Consider the following 20,969-nt stretch of genomic DNA (forward strand, 5'->3'; position numbering starts at 1 on the left):
TTCTCCCTGTCTTTCCCTTCCTCTGCCTCTTCCTCCTTATTCTTTTCCTTAATTCAAAATATAATATGAGTTAGAATGGGAAAATTTATGACAATATCTAGCAGAAATCCATGTGGAGAAGCAACTTGTGGAAAACTGAAAGGATCCATGCCTCCAAGTAAACACTTTAAACAGAAGACCTTCTTTACTCTTTGCTAACCATAGCATAAACATACCTCTAATTCTTGCCAAGCAGAGATAGTATGTGTTTCCTCTCTTACTTAACCTTAACATTACTTTATTTGGTTTTCCCCAAGAACTGGGCACCTTGTACAAATTTGGAATTTTCCTTATGGGTAGCTTGTTTAAAGGCAGTGCTTTATGGAGTCTTAATAATTTATAACTTCCTATAAATATTCCTTGTTGCAATACTAGAATGTACTAGTGTTTTAAAAGTGGTATTATGGTTATAACTTTTATATGTTTTCCGTACCTGGCTTATGGAATTATTTGTACCTTGAATGTAGCATATCTACTATTTGGATGGCAGTTGTTTCATAGTTTTAGGGCATAATATTTTGTAATCACTTATTTTTATTTATTTTTTTTTCATTTCTATTGATACAAACGTAGCAACATAGTAAAAGCTCTTCTCCTCCTCCTTTTTTGTGGGGTGGGGACAGTATATTATACGAGTTCTCTTTCTCCTGCATCTGAAAGATTTTCCTTCTGCCATTTACATTTTATATACATTTTATGATTTCATCTATTTGCATGGGTTTAACTATTGGCTCTATGCATGCAATTCTATTCATTAACTTGGTTTTGATCTCCAATCTATTATTTAGAGCTGTCTTTTAGAAATTACCTCACAATTAAAGCTCAAAATGAGAATTAATCTCTCCCTCCAAAAAAAAAACAGGTACACCATAAACTAAATTTGTTCTACCTTCTAACTTCCATATATCAGTGTCTGGCTCTTTAATCATCCCGATTACTAGGTTTAAAACCACCAAGAGCTTTAACTTCTTCATTCTTACCTTATATAGGGAGTCAACCCCTAGTCAAATACCATTCACTGCACTCATAAAGGAACTTTCCCTTTTCCTCTCTGATTTCACTGGTTCTGAGTTTATTCCAATATTCTCTTACCTCACCTATTGGAATAGTCCCTTTGTTGATTGCAATGACTATAGCAGATCTTTCTAAAACAGGGCTTTGATAATTCTGTTCCCTTGCCCATTAGTTATTAATATAGTACAATAGTCTGAAAAATAAAATCCAAATCTAATGTATCTGGGACATTACCTCTGCCCCCATAGTGACCTGGCCCAACTTACTACCTTCCTAAATTTGTTCTCATTGAAATAAAACTAAAATCGTGGACTTTCTCTCTGTGTTGAAGAATTAGCTTCTCCAACACTGAGAAGAACAGATTTGTGGGAACAGATTTTACCCCTAAAATCAGCCAGCAATTTTAGAAACTAGTTCTCAGAATCATAAGGGAACTGAACATGAGAAAATAAACTCAAATTTGTTGTTATAACAGAAAAAATTACCAATAGCATAGTTCCTCTGGACAGTTTAAAATTAGCTTTTAATATAATGATATGAGTTATTTAATATAATGGAGCACAGCACATGTGTCCACAAACTACTTTGTTTCTTATTTTATTTATGTATCATTATTATTATCAAGGATACATGCAGACTCATGCCTTATGTAATCTATTAACCGCCTCTCTGTTAACACCAAGCATCCCAGATGTGGCCTGAAGCAAAGCAATCAGTTACCCTGACATCCAAGGGACTGTGAAGTGAGCCTGTGCCTCCTCCTCTAACCCAGTGTGCTTAATAATCACTCGAACTACCTCCTTTTTTTTTTCAATTTGTAATTTCCTTTTCAATTTGTAATATTCTAAACATTTTTGCTTTTCAACTTGTATTATTATTAATAAACATTAAGGAAGTACCATTGCAAAAGAAATGGAGACTATGGGGTAGGCACGGTGTCTCATGCCTGTAATTCCAGCATTTTGGGAGGCTGAGGTGGGAGGATCACTTGAGGCCAGGGGTTTGAGACCAGCCCTGGCAACATAGTGAGATCCCATCTCTACAAAAAAATAAAAGGATAAAAAATAAGCCAGGCATGGTGGCATGCGCCTATAGTCCAGCTACTCTGTAAGGCCAAGGTGGGAGGATTGCTTGAGCCAGGGAGGTCAAGGCTGCAGTGAGTCATGATCATGGCACTGCACTCCAGCCTGGGCGACAGAGTGAGATCCTGTCTGGAAAAAAAAAGAAAGAAAACAAAAACAAAAAGAAAGAGGAGCTCCGCTTTTTGAGTCTAATGAAAATAAACAATTGAAGTTATTCTTTACAAAGTTTTTTTGTAAAATGCTTTGAAAATCTGAACATTTGAATAAGACTGAGTGCACAGTTGGGGGAGGCTCTAAAGATAAGTTTGTGCTTTTGCACGTAGTGCCAAGATTACAGTGAGAATGGGGAAAGTCAGCTAAGTGACAAGCAGTTGTTGAAACAAATACTTGATCAGAATGGTGGAAGTGATATGGGCTAGGAGCAACTAAGAGAGTCATTTCAAGGTGAGATGGGAACTTGAAAATCAGTGGGAAGCCTGGGAAGGAACTGAAAACCGGAGTAGATAAGCATTAGGGAGGAAAACAATTTTTTCCAAGACATTTCAGACTGATTGCAGGGGAAAATGGTAGAGACCAGGGAGGAGAATTAAGAAGGAAATTGCAGTATAAGTCAGAGACGAAAAATTGTCAACGTAAGTGTGAAGGTTTTTTCAATGGCAAGAAGGTACTAGTATTGAAAGGTGCCACCCAAATTGGCTCACCTCTAGGGAGCTGAGGTGACAGGGTAGTGTCCTGATAACAGATGGTTTTCCTTTTCTTTTCAATAAAGTATGAAGTTAATCTCCCTCATAGCAAGTCAACAAATATAAGGGCTTTGAAATTTACTTGCATTTATTAGAATCAGCTATATATGCTTTTATCTTTGGATACAATCAAAGATATCTTATAAGTCTATGGCTAGAGCATTTTCTTTTGTATTTGAAAAAATAATTGCAAAGATGATAATGGGGATAAAGGTGTTGCAAGGCTGGTATTTTTCAGCTCTCAGTCTGCCTTCCTAGGAAACATGTTCAATAAATAGCAGTTACAATCTGAGGTCTGACGAGGGAGGGACAGGATGAGATAAGATTTCTCTGAACTCATAACTTCAAAGTCGTTTTATTTTCTTGAGTTTCAAAGATGAGAAAACTAAGATACATAGAAGTTCCATAACTTGCCTCAAACCCTATGACAAGGCACACTGGATCGTGATTGCAGATTCTGTTTCCCTTCCTCTTTGCTTCTTTATTTCAAACTGTTCTGTGGTGTGGCCAAATAATCTTACTCTATCCACTTAAAACCACTGTCAACTTAGATCGTCTTCCTTGGGTTCTTGTTACTAGGAGTTGTTGATGAACATACAGCGAACATACTTTCCTCATTTTTGTGAATAATTTAGCACGTTTCTAATAGATTTATACTTCACTATCACTATTTTTCAAAGTGGAAATTCACTTTGAGCCTTTTACCACCTTATCCTTATGCTTCTTTTACTTCTCACTGTCAATCATTTGCCCGGCCCTGTTGACTTTGCCTCTCTTCTATCTGTAACTCATGAACACTGTCACTACTGCAGTTCAAAATTAAGATTTCTTATTCAGGACTACTTGAAAAGTCTATTAACAGTTTACTTGCCTTGAATGGTTTTCTCTCTCTAGTCCAACTTCTACAGTGCGGCCTCATGCATTTGCTAAACTTCAGCTGTGGCATTTTACATTTTGAGCAACCATCAGGAGCTTTTATCTAAAAAATAAAGCTCCTTAGCCTGGCATTTAAAGCCCTCCAAAATCTTTTCTCTGACTTACCCTTTAAATATAATTTCCTTTTATGCTTACCAGTCAGGAACCCATCTTTCCAAGCAAAGCAAAATTTTGTCAATTGTCCATGTCAGCCTCATGTTTTCTGGCACCTACCCTCTGAGGACTTTTCCTTTGCCCATCATCACTGTTCTTTGTTCTGAGAAAACTCTCTATCAAATCCATATCCAAGTGCTACTCTTGTCCCTCCTGTGCGTCTCTGAAATCCACTCCTTCCATTTTACTGCTTCTCTGCCGACTTCTGGCCTTGACATTTTCCATGGGCCTGCTGAAGGACCTCCCTTTTTCCTCCATCTGCACAGCTGCTGTGATGAGTTTTCTCATGTGGAAATCTGAAGCAGCGCTTTCCCTGCTTGGAAGCTTTTGCCTGCATTCCATTTGCTCTCACAAGTCCTTTAGCTCGGTATCCAAGTCGTATGATGGCATGTTTATGTCTTTCACACCAGCCTTACCTCTTCTTGCTACACCCATTTCTCACACCATGTACTTCTTGTTCCAAATGCACAGTGTAGTTGCTAGAACCATGTGTTACAACGTTTTGACATCCTTGTAATGGGTTGCTCTTGTCATGTTATATGACAGTTGCTATTTTACCTGTGTAACTTTCATCTCAACTGTGTACATGAGGCCATGCCTTATTCAGATTTGTATCTCTAGCAATTAACATAGTAGGGTATAACAGATATTTATTTTTAATCTGATTGAACTGAAATAAACCTCAACATATCCAGGCTCAACAGATGCTCCAAGTCTCATCCCGATGGATAGTAGCCTTTCCCGGGGTAGTCTTTGCTGATATCCTTCTTCACCCACCACCCCCACTGGGCAAGGATCCCACCTCTCTCAGACATCCATTGTCAGCCTCACTTTTTTGACACATACAACTTGCATTTTGATGATTGGAAGGATTCCTTTATTTCTTCCCTCTTAAATTACAAGCTCTATTAGGAGAAACTTTAGTTACTCATATTTTCCCTATTATAACATTTAATATATGTGCTTTGCAAATACTAGAAATAAAATAAATATGGGTAAAATAAATGAAATGGATGCATAGCTTCTTCAATACTCATTACATGGAAAATCAAAGAGATTTATAACTTTAAGGGAACTTTGGAATAATTTGTTCTAACTTCTTCATTGTGCACATTAGGAAATCACATTCAAAGAGGTTCTGTTATATTTTTAAGGTCTCAATATAAAGAAAGGAAAAATTAGGACCAGAACCAGAGTCTCCTGATTCCAGGCAATGCTTTTACGTATTTCCAGTTATATTACTCTGCCTTTTCAATTATACAAGGTATCATATAAATCTTTTTGATGCTTTATATGGTAAAATAATTACTTAATTTTTTCAATGATAATTATGTAAATTATACAGAGCTCTTTACTGGATAAGTATTAAAGAAACAATACATTTTTCAATGGGGATAAATTATTTTTTAAAAAACACTGTAATAACACCCTAAAATTACACCAGACTGAGAAAGAAGATGCAGAACTATTATACAAGGAGATCTTCATATTAAAAATATTAATCGTCATTTCTAAGAAAGGACGTTAAGAAGAAAACTACAAAGATATTTGCTTTTGGCCTTGGAATTCATTTAGAAAAGGATCCCATATTCAACAGCAACTTATTTCATTTTAAAATAGGACAAGTATGTGATTAGTTATACATATAAATCATAAATAATATCTATTTTGGTAAAGTAATGTTACACAAATAAGTCAGTTTATTAATATAGTTGTCTGATTTTGCGTATCTTACACATGTATACTGCATACCACATAAATGTCCATGACATCCATTTATCATAATTGCCGTATTCAGATAATTTACTTTCCTCTGTTAGAAAAATTGACAAACATTATATATACATATTATATTTAAGATTAATATTGAGGTGAAAGCAAAAACGTGTCATTGTTTTGGGCCCTATGAAACATCACATTCTCAGAAAGGTGGAGTACGATTTCTAACTACCTTTTAATGTTTTCTATTTAAAAGGTAAATAGGATTTGTGGCCGCCCTGTAAGAACACCCACACAAAGCCCCCGTTGTTCTTTTGATCAGAGCAAAGAGAAGCATGGAATGAAGACCACCACAAGGAACAGTGAAGAGACGCTTGCCAACAGAAGAAAGTAAGACATTTGTTTTACAACCAGAAAGAGAAAAGAAAGTAAGCCATTAATTTTACAACAGAATAGAACATATTCAATTAAATCGAATAAAATTCAATATGGACAAAAAAAAAAAGGATCAATATTCATTAACTTTAAAAATCAGTGGCTGCACCTGTTCCATTAATTTGGAAGACAGGTTCCACTTATAAGACCAAGAAAACTTTTTGTGATAATGGAAGATTTCCATAATATAACATGGAAGGTCATATTGGGGGCCCTGGGCACATGTGACATCATACGCTTAAAATGTGACCAGTGTGACTGAGGATTGAATTTTAAATTGTAAATGTGGCTAGTGGCTACTGACTGATGATTATAATTTTAAATTGTAAATATGGCTAGTGGCTATTGTATTGGACAGTGAAAGACAGAAAGATAATACATTTACATGATGTGATAGGTATTACTGAATGTTTAACATATATTTTAAAAAGTTGAATAAGAAGAAGTTTTCATAATTTTACATGAAATGCTAGAAATGGTTATCTGTTGATTCAAAATAATACACATCCCATAGGGCTCGCTAACTCACATTTCTACCACCGTGTCCATCATATTTCACAGGTTAAATTCAGGCCTCATTTTGTGTTCCTTTGCTTGATAATGGATGCTTAAAATGTAAAGCTCTTAAAACTAGAGGAAATTATTATATGTGTGTGTGTTTAGTTGACCAGTCAGTGTATGTCCTGGCAAACACTAGATTCTAAGTCAGTACTTTTTGAATTGGACTGAAATTCAGAATTTTATATTCATTTAGTAAATAATTATTTCTAATAATACTCTATGAATAATTCATATATAAGGTATTTCACATAAGCTTTCTATAATCTAAAATCTGTTTCTTTCTTTTTTGGGATAGGACACCTAATTGCCTCATTCTCTCATCAGATGGGCTGTATGCATGGGATAAAGATCTGGGCTATTGCTGGCTATTTTCTACAGCTAAAAAGAATTAGCATTTTATTTTACATGTAAAGTAGCTGTTCTTTTTATCTAAACACCTACAATGATCAGCAATCATTTCTTGCACTTGAAAAATCAGTATATTTTGTCTAGGGTGTTTTTATAATAAAACCCATCTACAGAAGATCTGAAGTCCTTCGAGGTGTTGTATTTCACCAGCAAAACAACCCAGTTGGAAAACAAAACAAAACCCAACCTTTAATATAATCTATTCACTAGCAAAATGAAACCAATGCAGGTGAAATGTTACAAACTGGCTCAGGAACAATAAGGGGCTCATACAAGTGAAAGGTTTTAAAAGTATCTATCCTGGCCACTGAATAGACCTTCTTGTCACCAATCTTGCAAACTCATTGTTTTGATGTCCCTGACCATCCAGCCATGTTTAGCCATTGTCCATGAATCAGCATAGATCCAACACATGCTTGTCTCCTGCCACACGGAGTGAACAACCATAGGAACTGCACATGAGTCCACTTATGCATTTCAATTTTACACTAATTTTTATTACCACTCTTTAGAGGGGCTTCATTGCCATGGCATTATATTTCTGCTAGTTGCTTATTTATTGTACAGGTTTCTCTGTAAACTAACCCTGAATTTTATGTATCCCTCATCAACTGATTATTCCCCATGAGGTCATAAATTTCCATTGAAATAGATGAGCAATGTAGCACGAGTGGATGCTGAGTCTGGGCTACCTTCTCGTGTGCCTTGTTCTTTCTCTACCGCTTGAGCCTGATTTCCAATAGATCACTTCCACTTGGTTGTAATTACTTCTATTCGAGCCTAGTCTTATAGCCTGGCAGATCAGGTAGTACTTAGTTCTTCACGGCAATCTCAGGTTGCACGGTCACTTGCTAGGTCATGGTCAAGTGTGTAGTTTCTACCAGAGCTCAATTGCAAAGCAACTAACCAAATAACCAGCTAACCCACACAGCCATGAAACTTCAGATAGCACTGAATAAGTAAACAGGCTTAACTGGACTCACCATCAGAGCACCTTGCAAATGAGTAAGCAACAGAGCCTTTTCTTTCTCAGATTAAAGCTCTTTTGGGCTATTCTGTAAATGGGCTAGAGCAACACACCAAAGTGAATAATATGATTTTTTTCTAGTATGTAAAGGAATCTAAAAAGCACTCTATCTCTTCCTGAGTTTTAGGTTATCTTAGGTGCAGAAATTTTCCTTTTATATAAGAAGAATATCCCAGTAACATCCAGGCCACATTTAGAAACATTGCTGAATTGTCAAGCACTGGAAATGTCAGTACTTTCCACCACAGAGGCACAAATATGTCTACTAAGACATTTGGGTGATGTGATCCATATTTTATTGTCAGCATTATGTCCCACAGGATATCTAGACAATCAAGGCTCCTGTCTACCATGGACTGGGAAAGTTTTTGACATCTAACAGTGAAGGGGTCCTTGCCAGCTAAAAGTGAATTATTTCCAACTGTCCTTACTAATTGGTAAGGAGGTAAAAGAATTTGCCAAATCATTAGCTGCATAGCAGGTGTCAGGACATATTTGGATTTGCCCAAGTAGTCACCACGTATAAAGGAACATCTGTAATTGGAGTCACCCTCTGACTCTGTTTCTGATAAGCCAACCTTCACCAAGTCCATCTCAGTGTGCACAGACCAGCCAAATAGGCGAGGTAAGTAGCGAGGTGTTAGGAATCATCACCACTGTGTTTTTCATGTTTTTGAAGTGGCCCTAATCTCAGCAATTCCACAGGGATATGATACATTTTTGTTTTAGTATTTTTGTCAGGAGAGGAATGTCTTTTTTTTATTGTGTTCAGCTCAACTTTTAGGTGGTTTATTTTATTTTTCTTTTCCTTTATTTTATTTTCTTTTATTTTAGGTTCTGGGATAAAAGTGCAGAAGGTGTAGGTTTGTTAAATGGGTGTATGTGTGCCATGGTGGATTGCTGCACCTATCAACCTGTCCTCTAGGTTTTAAGTCCTGTATACATTAGCTATTTGTCCTCATGCTCTCCCTCTCCTTGCTCCCCACCCCGACTGGCCCTGCTGTGTGATGTTCCCCTCCCTATATACATGTGTTCTCATTATTCAGTTCCCACTTAGGAGTGAGAACATGCGGTGTTTGGTTTTCTGTTCCTGTGTTAGTTTGCTGAGGATGATGGCTTCCAGCTTCACCCATGTCCCTGAAAAGGACACGGTCTCATTCCTTTTTATGGCTGCATAGTATTCCATGGTGTATATGTACCACATTTTCTTTATCTAGTCTATAATTGATGGACATTTGTATATTGATTCCATGTATTTGCTATTGTAAATAGTGCTGCAATAAACATACATGTGCATGTGTCTTTAAAGTAGAATGATTTATAATCCTTTGGGTATATACCCAGTAGTGGGATTGTTGGGTCAAATGGTATTTCTGGTTCTAGATCCTTGAGGAAGCACCACACTGTCTTCCACAATGGTTGAACTAATTTATGCTTTCACCAACTGTGTAAAAGCATTCCTATTTCTCCACAGCCTCTCCAGCATCTGTTGTTTTCTGACTCTTTAATGATCGCCATTCTGACTGGCGTGAGATAGTATCTCATTGTGATTTTGAGCTGTATTTCTCTAATGATCAGTGATGTTGAGGTTTTTTTCATATGTTTGTTGGCTGCATAAATGTCTTCTCTTGAAAATGTCGGTTCATATCCTTTGCCCACTTTTTGATGTTTTTTTTTTTTTCTTGTAAATTGAAGTTTGTAGATTCTGGATATTAGACCTTTGTCAGATGGGTGGATTGCAAAAATTTTCTCCCATTCTGTAAGTTGCCTTTTCACTTTGATGATAGTTTCTTTTGCTGTGCAGAAGCTTTTTAGTTTAATTAGATCCCATTTGTCAATTTTGGCTTTTGTTGCAATTGCTTTTGGTGTTTTTATCATGATGTCTTTGGCCATGCCTATGTCCTGAATGGTATTGCCTAGGTTTTCTTCTAGTGTTTCTATGGTTTGGGGTTTTACATTTAAGTTTTAATCTGTCTTGAGTTAATTTTTATATAGGGTGTAAGGAAGGGGTCCAGTTTCAGTTTTCTGCATATTGTTAGCCAGTTTTCCCAGCACCTTTTATTAAATAGGGAATCCTTTTCCCATTGCTTGTTTTTATCAAGTTTGGTGAAGATCAGATGGTTGTAGATTTGAGGTGTTATTTCTGAGGTCTCTGCTCTGTTCCATTGGTCTATATATTTGTTTTGGTACCAGTACCATGTTGTTTTGGTTGCTGTAGCCTTGTACTATAGTTTGAGGTCAGGTGGTGTGATGCTTCCAGCTTTGTTCTTTTTACTTAAGATTGTCTTGGCTATACGGGCTCTTTTTGGTTCCATATGAAATTTAAAGTAGTTTTTTCTAATTCTGTGAAGAATGTCAATGGTAGTTTGATGGGAATAACATTAAATCTGTAAATTACTTTGGGCAGTATGGCCATTTTCACAATTTTTGTTTTGTTTTGTTTTGTTTTTGAGACAGTCTCATTCTGTCGCCCAGGCTGGAGTACAGTGACACAGTCTCGGCTCACTGCAACCTCCGCCTCCCAGGTTCAAGCAATTCTCCTGCCTCAGCTTCCGAGTAGCTGGGATTACAGCATGCACCACCACACCTGGCTAATTTTGGTATTTTTAGTAGAGATGGGGTTTCACCATGTTCGCCAGGCTGGTCTCAAACTCCTGACCTTATGATCTGCCCACCTCAGCCTCCCAAAGTGCAGGGATTACAGGCGTCAGCCACCGGGCATGGCCTGCTATATTGATTTTTCATATCCATGAGGATGGAATGTTTTTCCATTTGTTTTTGTCCTGTCTTATTTCATTGAGCAGTGGTGTGTAGTTCTCCTTGAAGAGGTCCTTCACATCCCTTGTTAGCTGTATTCCTAGGTGTTTTATTCTCTTTGTAGCAATTGTGAATGGGATTTCATTCATGATTTTGCTCTCTCCTTGTCTATTGTTGAGTTATAGGAATGCTTGTGATTTTTGCACAATGATTTTTTTATCCTGAGACTTTGCTGAAGTTGCCTATCAGCTTAAGGAGTTTTAGGCTGAAATGATGGGGTTTTCTAAATATAGAATCATGTTATCTGAAAACAGAGACAAGTTAATACCTGTCTTCCCATCTGAATACCCTTTATTTCTTTCTCTTGTCTGATTGCCCCGGCCAGAACTTCCAATACTGTGTTGAATAAGAGTGTTGAGAAGGGGCATCCTTGTTTTATGCCCATTTTCAAAGGGAATGCTTCCAGCTTTTGCTCATTCAGTATGATATTGGCTGTGGGTTTGTCATAAATAGCTCTTATTATTTTGAGATATGTTCCATCAATACCTGGTTTATTGAGAGTTTTTAACATGAAGGGATGTTGAATTTTATTGAAGGCCTTTTCTGCATCTGTTGAGATGATCATGTGGTTTTTGTCATAGGTTCTTTTATGTGATGGATTATGTTTATTGATTTGCGTATGTTGAACCAGCCTTGCATCCCAGGGATGAAGGTGACTTAATTGTGGTAGATAAGTTTTTCAATGTGCTGCTGGATTCAATTTGCCAGTATTTTATTGAGGATTTTCATATTGATGTTCATCAGGGATATTGGCCCGAATTTCAGGAATTTCAATTTGGCGTTCACTCCGTGAGTTGGGGACTCTTTATGGGGATTGTGCGATGGGTAAGTATGTCTAGTTCAAATCTGTGTTCAGGAGTGTGAAATAACTACAGGGTGGGTCTGTGGACTGAATGTCCCAATGTGAGACAGATTGAGCCTAAAACTCGATTTTCATTTGACCTCTGTAAGCCTCTATTTAGACTCACAGGATAATGGTATTCTGGGTCTTTGGGATAAAAGTCAGTACAGAGGTAGTGTCTAATAATTCCTGGAAGGAAAATAGCCACAGGTCCCTGTAGGGAATGGATGGAGGAAGATTTATATTACATAGTGGTTTTACTTATGCAAGGTTCTTTCTCAAGGGATCCCAGCCTTCAGTCAAGGTGCTTTGATGTGTGAACTGGGAACTGGGTGAAAGACTGAATTCCTTTGGTGGTGAATAAAGTGATGTTTCTTTTCATATCTTTAATTTCCAAATATTTTTCATTGGTCTCTTTTTAAATTCACATCCCATTCTTGTTTCATGGATGAGTTATTTTCTTATCGTTCTTAACATTAACTATAGTTTTTGAAAAATGCATTACCATATTTCTATTTTTTTTCTGTTTTATCTGAATTTCCTTTTCAGTGTTAGCTGGGTTTTCTACTAGATTTTTTTTCAGATTAAATGTATTTATTGGTAGAAGTTCCTTTTTATATTCCATATATTAATTTGTTCCTTTTAGACATTGAAAACATTTTTTATCTAAGAAAATAGTTCATTTAATGTAAAATAAAATAAAGTGATTAGTAACTTAGTCTAAGATGACCTTGTTAAATATAAATTCTTAACTTTGATATCAAGGTTATCAAGTTTTCTTTTTTGTTTAAAATTTCTTGCCTGCATCAACTCAAAAAGAGATTCTACTATATTTTTTCTACTAGCTCTATGGTTTTTTCTCTTATTATACATAATACATAGGGAATATATCTGTATATATAAGGTAAGTTTCCAAGTCAAATTTTCCATATTCTGATCCAATTTCCCCAAAAAACCCTAAAACAGTCCATCCTTTCCCCCTTTGTGTTCTTTTCTTTCACCTCACACTCATTCTAAGTTCATGTAATTATACTGGCCTATCGTCTGTTAATAAGTCAGTAGTTGTTTTCTGCAGATTTTTACTGATTTCTGTTATTGCAATTGCTTTTGCTTTTAAGGATTTTATAAAATCTTGTAAGGTAAGTCACTATATTTACTCTCATTTTCAAAATTCTCTTAGATATTTTGAAATTTAGTTTTCAAAATATAGTATCTTTTTGTTGGATTTCAATTGGAGTTATATTGACTATATAGATTGATTTGAACAAAGATATTAGGATAATGCTATAAATGGCTATTTTTCTGAACTCTGTTTCTAATGGTTGGCCTTTTGATCATATTAGGTTTTCTGTGTGGATGATCATTTTGTGCACTGGTACAGTTTCCTCCTGCTGCACCTGGCAAAACTCACATACCCTATGCACTAGAGTCTACTACTTAGGATGTGTCCTAAGGAAACTTGCTTATACCCAGAGGAGGCATTCTTGATTATTTGTGATAGCTGAGCATTAGAAGCAAACTATCCACATCTAGGAAAAATGGAAAAGTAAAATATAAGACTTTGGAACATTATGAAGCAGTCAGAAGCAATGAACACATTTTCATACAGCAAAAAATCTCATTGAGATTACAGAGAAAACACATTGTGCAGAATGAGAACAATAGTACAATGCCATTATATGAATTAAAAACATTATTAAATAAAATCAGTATATATTTTCAAGGATGGGATATAGCAGAGTATTTATATTATATACATTAGAATGAGTATTTATAGAAAAGAAAGAGGGTGAGGGATGAATTAAAAAATTAAGATAATAAAATAATAAAGCAGGAATGTTCAAGGGTAAATTGTGATAGTATGGCAGGAATTGAGGAATATGCTTAACTGAACCTTCTGTATCTGAGAAAATATAGGTGTGTTTATATATGCATACATATTAACACACACAATTATTTTAAAGTTTAGATGAAAAGTGTTTTTTAAAATCAAGTTCTTCTAATTAAAAAGTAGTTCAAACTCCCTTGTCAAAATTTTCGTGAAAGCTAATAATACTCAATTTTTCCACAATCTTTTTTTTGCCATCTCATATGCTGAATGTAGATCTTTTTTTATTATACTGTATTGTAGATACAGTGACCATCCACACAGAGATAAAATATAAATGACTGAGAACAGTTGTTGACTTGTTTGGATTTCCTACTATAACCCATTAATTAAAATAAAAGGAAAGATTACTTAAAAAAATAGACAAGGAAAACATCCAAATTATTAACAAAACCACTGCTTTGTGTAATTCATACAAAAGGGAAGTAAAAATTAATATTTTCTAAGTTAGTTTTATTAATTAGTTGTATATCCTCAATAGTGTTAAAAGAAAAAATTACAACAAATTTAGTTGTAGATCTAATTGGCTTTTATTTGTGATTCATGAATGAGAGAATCCTCTATTCCAGAAAATGGAATGAGAACTCCCACTGGGCAAGTTCAGGACAGTGGGTTTTGTAAGGTGGAAATGAGAAAACAGAACAATAGGAAAAAATAAAATAAAATAAACTGATTGGTTAACATCAGGTTACTTCAGATTATTATTATTATTATTATTATTTTTGATGGTAGTCCCAGCTATTCGGGAGGCTGAGGCAGGAGAATGGCGTGAACCTGGGTGGCGGAGCTTTCAGTGAGCTGAGATCATGCCATTGCACTCCAGCCTGGGCAACAGAGCGAGACTCCGTCTCAGATTACTTTTTAAAAGGGTTAAAGCAGAGGGGACTTCCTTATTACAGTGACTCAGATTTCCTGGAATCTCCTGTTTTTAGGAAAAAGTGGTCTGTTTTGGGATCTGTTTCCTTAAAGTTTCAGTTTGATGATATGGCATTTAGCATGACTGATTCCATTTTGGTTTAGGCTGGTCTGTTGAGGCCTAGTGCAAGAGTTCAGTTCAAAACAATGGCCTATAATATTTGTTTAACAATAGTTTTCCTCAGGTATCCTTTTTTAAAATTTACTTTGAGTAATTCCCAAGAGAATACCTCTAGCAGAAACTACTTTCTATAAATTTAAACCAAACCAAAACCATTAAAGGAAAGCTATGAAACAAAATAATTTAGCAGTTTCCATAGCTTAGTTTCTGTAATAGCTGAAAAAATAGGAATTGTAAAATCCATCAGCGTCTTTGCCAACATAAATGAAAATAAACACTATTCTATGTTTGCCAAAAATTAAAGATGCATTTTACATTATAAATAAGGCATAACCTTTTCAAATTATATTGTCATAGTTTATACTTTAGATTTTGTGTATTATGAAAATTTTGTTGTTTAAAATTATGTTAGAGATATGGCACCCTAATTTAGAAAAACTATTTCAGGTCTTTGTGACAGAGGAAGAATTTAATTTATATTTTAGTCTTCCAGTATTCAACCTATTCTTTTGAGGTAATGTTAATATAATTGTCAGGGAGGGGAAAATGTCTTCCTTCCACACTCTGAAATTCTTTAGCTGGAGTACAGATTAAATTAATATAAGGCAGATTAATAGAAAAACGATTTTAATTACATATATAGGAATGGGAGTCCCACAAAAATATGGGGCTTAAGGAAAGGCCAGGTAATTGAAGCTTATATAGCATCCTGAGCTAAAGAAAGGAATACAGAGCTGGATCTTCTAGTGGGTAGTGAAGACAAACTATTGAGAGGGTGAGTGGAGGAAAGGGATGGGAAATAAAATTTGCCTTGTTACACAGGTAAACTTCGCACTGGTGATAAAGACAAACTAGGTCTCCTAGAAGTTCTCTTCCTGATTCAGATACCTTTACTAAGGAAAATTTTCTTTATAGATGTAAACTTCTTTTACAAAAGAGCAGGTTTTCAGAGCCTTTCCTGTGTCTTCAGTTTCTCAAAATAACCAGTTCAAAGTAATCAAAATGACAAAAAGTTATATTTTGGGGTGGCATATTCTGGTCTCCTACAGTTATATTTTGGGGTGTTGTGTCCTATGCACATGGTTATGCCTCACCATAACCGTGGTTGACTTATAACTAATTTAACTAGCTACCTTTTTTTGGGTGTAGGCCAACAGTATTTATTAAGTGGTGATAAATCAGTCTTTATCATTGGAATATTTAATCCTTTTGTATACAGAAACATACAATATCCTGAAGGTAGCTGGGCTTAAGACTGCTGTCTTGCTCTTTTTTTTCTCTTTACTGCATGTCTTTTTTAAAAATTCCTCCTTTCTTGCCTTCTTTTGAGTTTAACAAATATTTATTATTTTTATCCTTTTATAACTTTTTAAATTTGTATTTCTTTATTCTCTTAATGGTTATTATAGAGATCACAATATGCATTTTTAATTTTTACTGTCTAAATTGTAACTTTTACTACTTCATTGAACAATATAAGAAACTTAGGATAGTTTCACTCCATTACCCTCTTCCCTTTTTTTATGCTATTTTACCAACAAATAGCTTACTCTTACCAATATTTTCACAATCCCCAGGACAACTACTGCTATATAATAATACTTACTTATAATTTCTCACACATTTTATCCTTTCTGGTGCTCTTGTTTTTTTCTCCAGTTTCATGTGTTTATCTAGAATCTTTTTGCTTTAGCCTTAGTATAGCTTTTGTTGATTATTACAGGTGATGAATTTTTGCAGCTTTCATTTGTCTGCAGACATCTTCATTTTTGAAGAATATTTTCACAAGGTCTTGAATTGTACATTGTTGCCAATTAACATTTTAAAAATGAAAATGTCTAAGCCATCGTTAAGTTCATGACTGAGCCCTCATTAACTTCATAACATTACACGTTGTGTCTAAGTGGTATGGAAAGTGTAGTGGAACAAATATAATATGAGAAATAACTAAGGTTGTGGGTGCTGCTGTTGGCCCTACTCATATCCTCTTCACCTGGCCCTTTTACCTGCCTCCTGGCTGCTGTGTTCCAACTCATAGCTGCTCTAGTCCCTGGGAAATTGCCTTCAACAAATAGGAGCCATTGGTATTATTTCTTATCTATTGCAATCTAACAAATCATTCCAAAACGTAGTGGCTTAAACCAACCATAAGCATTTATTATCCTATTTTCTGTTAGGAATTTGGGAGCTAATTAGTTGCGGGGTTCATGCTCAGGGTCATTAGAGAGACTGCTGTCAAGAAGGCAGCTAGGGCTGTGGTCATCTGAAAGCTCAAGTGGGGCTGGAGTATCATCTCCCAAGATTGCTTGCTCACATGGCTGTTGGTGGGAGGCCTCCGTTTGTTGTCACAGTGACCTCTCCATAGGACTGCTTGAGTGTCTTCACATTGCGGCTAACTTCCCTCAGAACAAGAAATCTAAGAGAGAGCAAGGCAGAGGCTGCCGTCTTATATGAGCTGGACTCAGAAATCACATACTATTGTTTTTGCAATATTCCATAGGTTACACAGGTCATCCCTCTTCATTGTAGAAGGGGACTATGCAAAGGCATGAGGGATGAAACTGTGGGGAGTTATCATGGAGACTGGCTCTCATCCATCTCATCCACCTGTGGAAAGGGATTAGACTGCCACCTACCTCAGGCTCTTGGCAGCAACTTACAGGCAATGACTGACTGACACAGGGATAGAAGAGGCTTGCCCCTTGCTTCAAGGTGTGGGACCAAACCTGGTGAAATGCATGCTTCAGTGCTTCTTGTGGTATCTGGCTGAAGCTGAGCCCACATCCCCACTTAGCTTCTTCCGCCACACCTGCCCTTGCTTCCCTTTCTCGCTTTTACCTAAAAGCACTCCCTGATGAGTTGCCTGCATACTGATTACTGTCTTAGGCACTGCTTCTAGGGAATCTGACCTAGAGATGCCTGAATTTTTAAAGGTACCTAAAATAAATGCAGAATGAGAGTAAGTGAAGGCAGGATTACAGTATCCTCTCCTTAGGATAGAGAAATCTCTTAATATTCCCAAGTTCCTAACCATTTTTTTCTCCCTGTTTTTCTATATTCATTTCACAGAGGTCCCTTCTGTTAAATACATTGCTTTTTCCTTGTTTTGCTTCTAACATTTGAAGAAGGAAAATTTCCTTATTCCTGGATAAGAGTTGTGCTAAGCTCCTTTGTGGACATTGTGAGTCTTCTTTTAGCTTGGAGAGAGGGGAGCTAAACCATAGAGTTGGATTCTTTTATTTTGGAGACGTAATTGTCCTGATTCAATTTCCCCAATCCATTTCTGTTTATATAGCATGCTAATAATGTGCACATCAAAGACCCTGAGTGATTGATACATACCAGTTACGGAGGTCTCCAAAGTTGAGCAAAGTAAGGAAGAGCTACTGCTCCTTTAAACAGCCAGCAAAGCATCACAATTTTCCCTTTTTGAGCAGAGACCAAATCAACACAGCTGTAAAGGACATTGCGCTCATATAGTTGTCTAAAGCAGGCCAGGCAGAGTGATTTCCCTGTGGCAGTTCCTGCTCTCTGCTTGATTTCTTGAAGTTAGCTGGTAAGAATAAGCTATTAGCAAGCTTAAATCGGTGATAATTAGCTGTACATTATTATTTCAAAGTGGTGTGGCTGTGCCAATTAAGTAGGTAATTAGGAAAACCCCAGGACAATAAATTAAGATGGAGTCTCAACACCAGTGCCCCATCTGTTCTCCAGCAAGCATTCCAATTAGCCAGGCCTCTCATTTCAGAATGCATGATTAAGGGGATTGGCTGCATGCATGAGTGTGTATTTGCATAATAGGGAGTGTCCTAGGTGCTTAGTAAAAATAAGATATTTTTACTATCAGACAGGATTTTGATGTCAAGGTGGGGAATGCAGAATTTTTAGAAATATTGGATTTTTTTGAAACAAAATATAAATTTTGAGTTTTTTTCAATTTTGTCTTCAGAACTTAATTGAAATATTATATCATTAGACATTTCCAGTTCATTCTAATGCATTTATTAAATCGTGATTTGAGTGAGAATTTTATCACTTGGAACATTAACAGTTTTATTTATTAAGAACAGAAAGCAAAGAGGACACTTGAAATTGCAGTTTAATGAAAGAAATGAGGCAGGGCATGATTCTCATTCAGAATGTCACTGTCAACTAAAGTAAATTAATATCCTGTACATTACAGAAAAACACAGGGAAGTGTTCAAAATAATTAAACGTGGGAAAAAATTTTAAATGTTTATTCAGTGAAGAACACTTAATGTTATTTAAGATTATTGCTAAGGTAGATAGATTCATATTAAATGGCATCAGTTAGTTTAAAATGCATAGAGTTTATAATAAAAAAACATAGAGCTTATAGTTACATAGTCAAATCTTATCTAATACAACACTTTATTAATGAATCCAAAGTTAAATTTAAAAATTCTTGATATTACACACTGAGTATATATGTTTGTTTAGATGGTAAATCAGTATTGAGATATACTGGACTTAATGATGAATTGTATATACAAATATTCAGTGGATGAAAATATTCATAGGTCTGAAAAAATAGTCGATTCTTTCAGAAAAATTTAATATCATTTATAGTAGCAGAGAAAGCAGTTTACAATCTATTTCCTCGTAAGTGAAAGTTAGTGCGTCTTTGAGGTGCCATCATTATTTATTACCTGTAAACTTAACTTGTGAAAATAAAGGTCATGTTTTCAATGAAAAAAAATCTGCTTAATGTAAAACAGTGCTTGTTAGGTGGTGGTACTGAGGGCTTCCAGAGCAGGGCAGGCCAAGACAAAGCTTTGGATAGGAGGCCAGAGCAGGTATGGAGGGAACATGAGCTCATGAGCTACAAGGCAGGCCAGAGTCAAGACCTACATGAATAATGAAGATCAGGACCTGCAGGGGGTCAAACTACAGGCGCACAGGAAAAGCAAATGCCAGAAGGCAGAGCAAACATATGGCAAAAGTTCAGGCTAGTGGTTCTTAACCTTTGGGGATCATGTATCCCACTGAGAATCCCATGAATGTTCCCAGAAAAAGAAAGTTCACAGACAAATCCATGCAGAATTTTGTTGCATTGAAAAGTACTTTGCTCCACCTAAAACTAATATTAAAAACAGAAAATGTTTTAAAAATGCTCTTACTTTCTAGATGTTCATGAAAAAATTAATGGCCATTTCATGAATCATCTTAAATGAAATCCACATAGTAGAAAATTATATTATGCACACTAGTCCTGAAAGAAGAGGCAGGTTCAACTATTTGGCACGAACTAGAAGTTGACATTGCAGTTGGTCTTGGATGTGGCTACGTGCCCATATGTTTGGTATTCAACAGATGCCCACTTTTTGTTTTGAGGGTAACAATTACTGGAAATTATAGAAAACGTATGCAACTATCATATCCAGTGGCTGCAATTGGAACTCCCCTAGTTTGCTTTCTTAGATGAGGATAGGCTTAATTCGGGGAGCATGACATTTATTCAAACTCTTCAGGCTCCATTGGTGTTTCATAATGCTTACATCCTTAAGTTGCATTATGATATTTGCTGTCAACCTTAGGTTAGTGTGTGTGGAAATAAATCTCTCCACATTTCTAACTACAGAAAGAATAATAAGTATAATTTTATAGCCATAGACATGGCTAGAAATTGGACAGTTTTCAAACTGGTCATCCAAAAACCTTCTGTTTCTATGTAGGCGCTTTGCCGAAGAGCTAGAAGCTTTTAGTAATGTATGTAATTATTACCGTGGGCCTATCTCACTTATATGGCTGAAAACATCTTTTCCACCAAGAAAACCAAACTGTGAATAAATTATCCTTATCTAATATATCTAAGAGTATGTTTTCTTTTTGCTTTTCTCCCAACAAGTGAATCTTCTACCCCTTTTCCTTTGGAAAGTCAGTAAAGGTCTACAGAGTTGGAAAGAACCTCAAGTTCAGCTCCTGTTGTTACAATTTTTTTTACTGAACTTCTAGAAGAGGTGAAGAGGATTCAAGTTCAAATTACGATGAAATTGATGATTTTATAGGAGTGTATAAAATTATTTCAGAATTTTTGGCAGAATCTGTGGGGGCATAATTTAAGATAATTGAAGTTTGTCTCTTACAAATTAATTGCATTTAGAAACAGGATGGGTCCTTCATCTATAGCATCTATAGCAAGAGTATCAAGCATTATCTTCTACTTTGTTTTTCATGGTAAAGAACCTTTTCAACATTTAAAATCTATCAACGGCATTTAAAATGTAGAAAGGATACATATGTATAATA

The 20,969-nt window shown here is 35.8% G+C and overlaps 1 protein-coding gene across 12 annotated transcripts in view; it reads left to right on the forward strand.

Annotated features, from left to right (window-relative positions):
• Positions 1-20,969, forward strand: part of GPC5 (glypican 5) — a 1,468,617-nt gene that overhangs the window by 323,969 nt on the left and 1,123,679 nt on the right. For 11 of the 12 annotated variants that reach the window (NM_004466.6, XM_017020435.3, XM_011521054.4 and 8 more), the window contains exon 4: positions 5,943-6,076. In NM_004466.6, the coding sequence (NP_004457.1) occupies positions 5,943-6,076 (134 nt within the window). Of the gene's footprint in view, positions 1-5,942; positions 6,115-20,969 lie in introns of all 12 variants that reach the window. The other variant, XM_047430153.1, reaches the window with a different exon arrangement.

The sequence above is a fragment of the Homo sapiens genome, chromosome 13 (assembly GCF_000001405.40).
Source record: "Homo sapiens chromosome 13, GRCh38.p14 Primary Assembly".
NCBI lineage: Eukaryota > Metazoa > Chordata > Mammalia > Primates > Hominidae > Homo > Homo sapiens.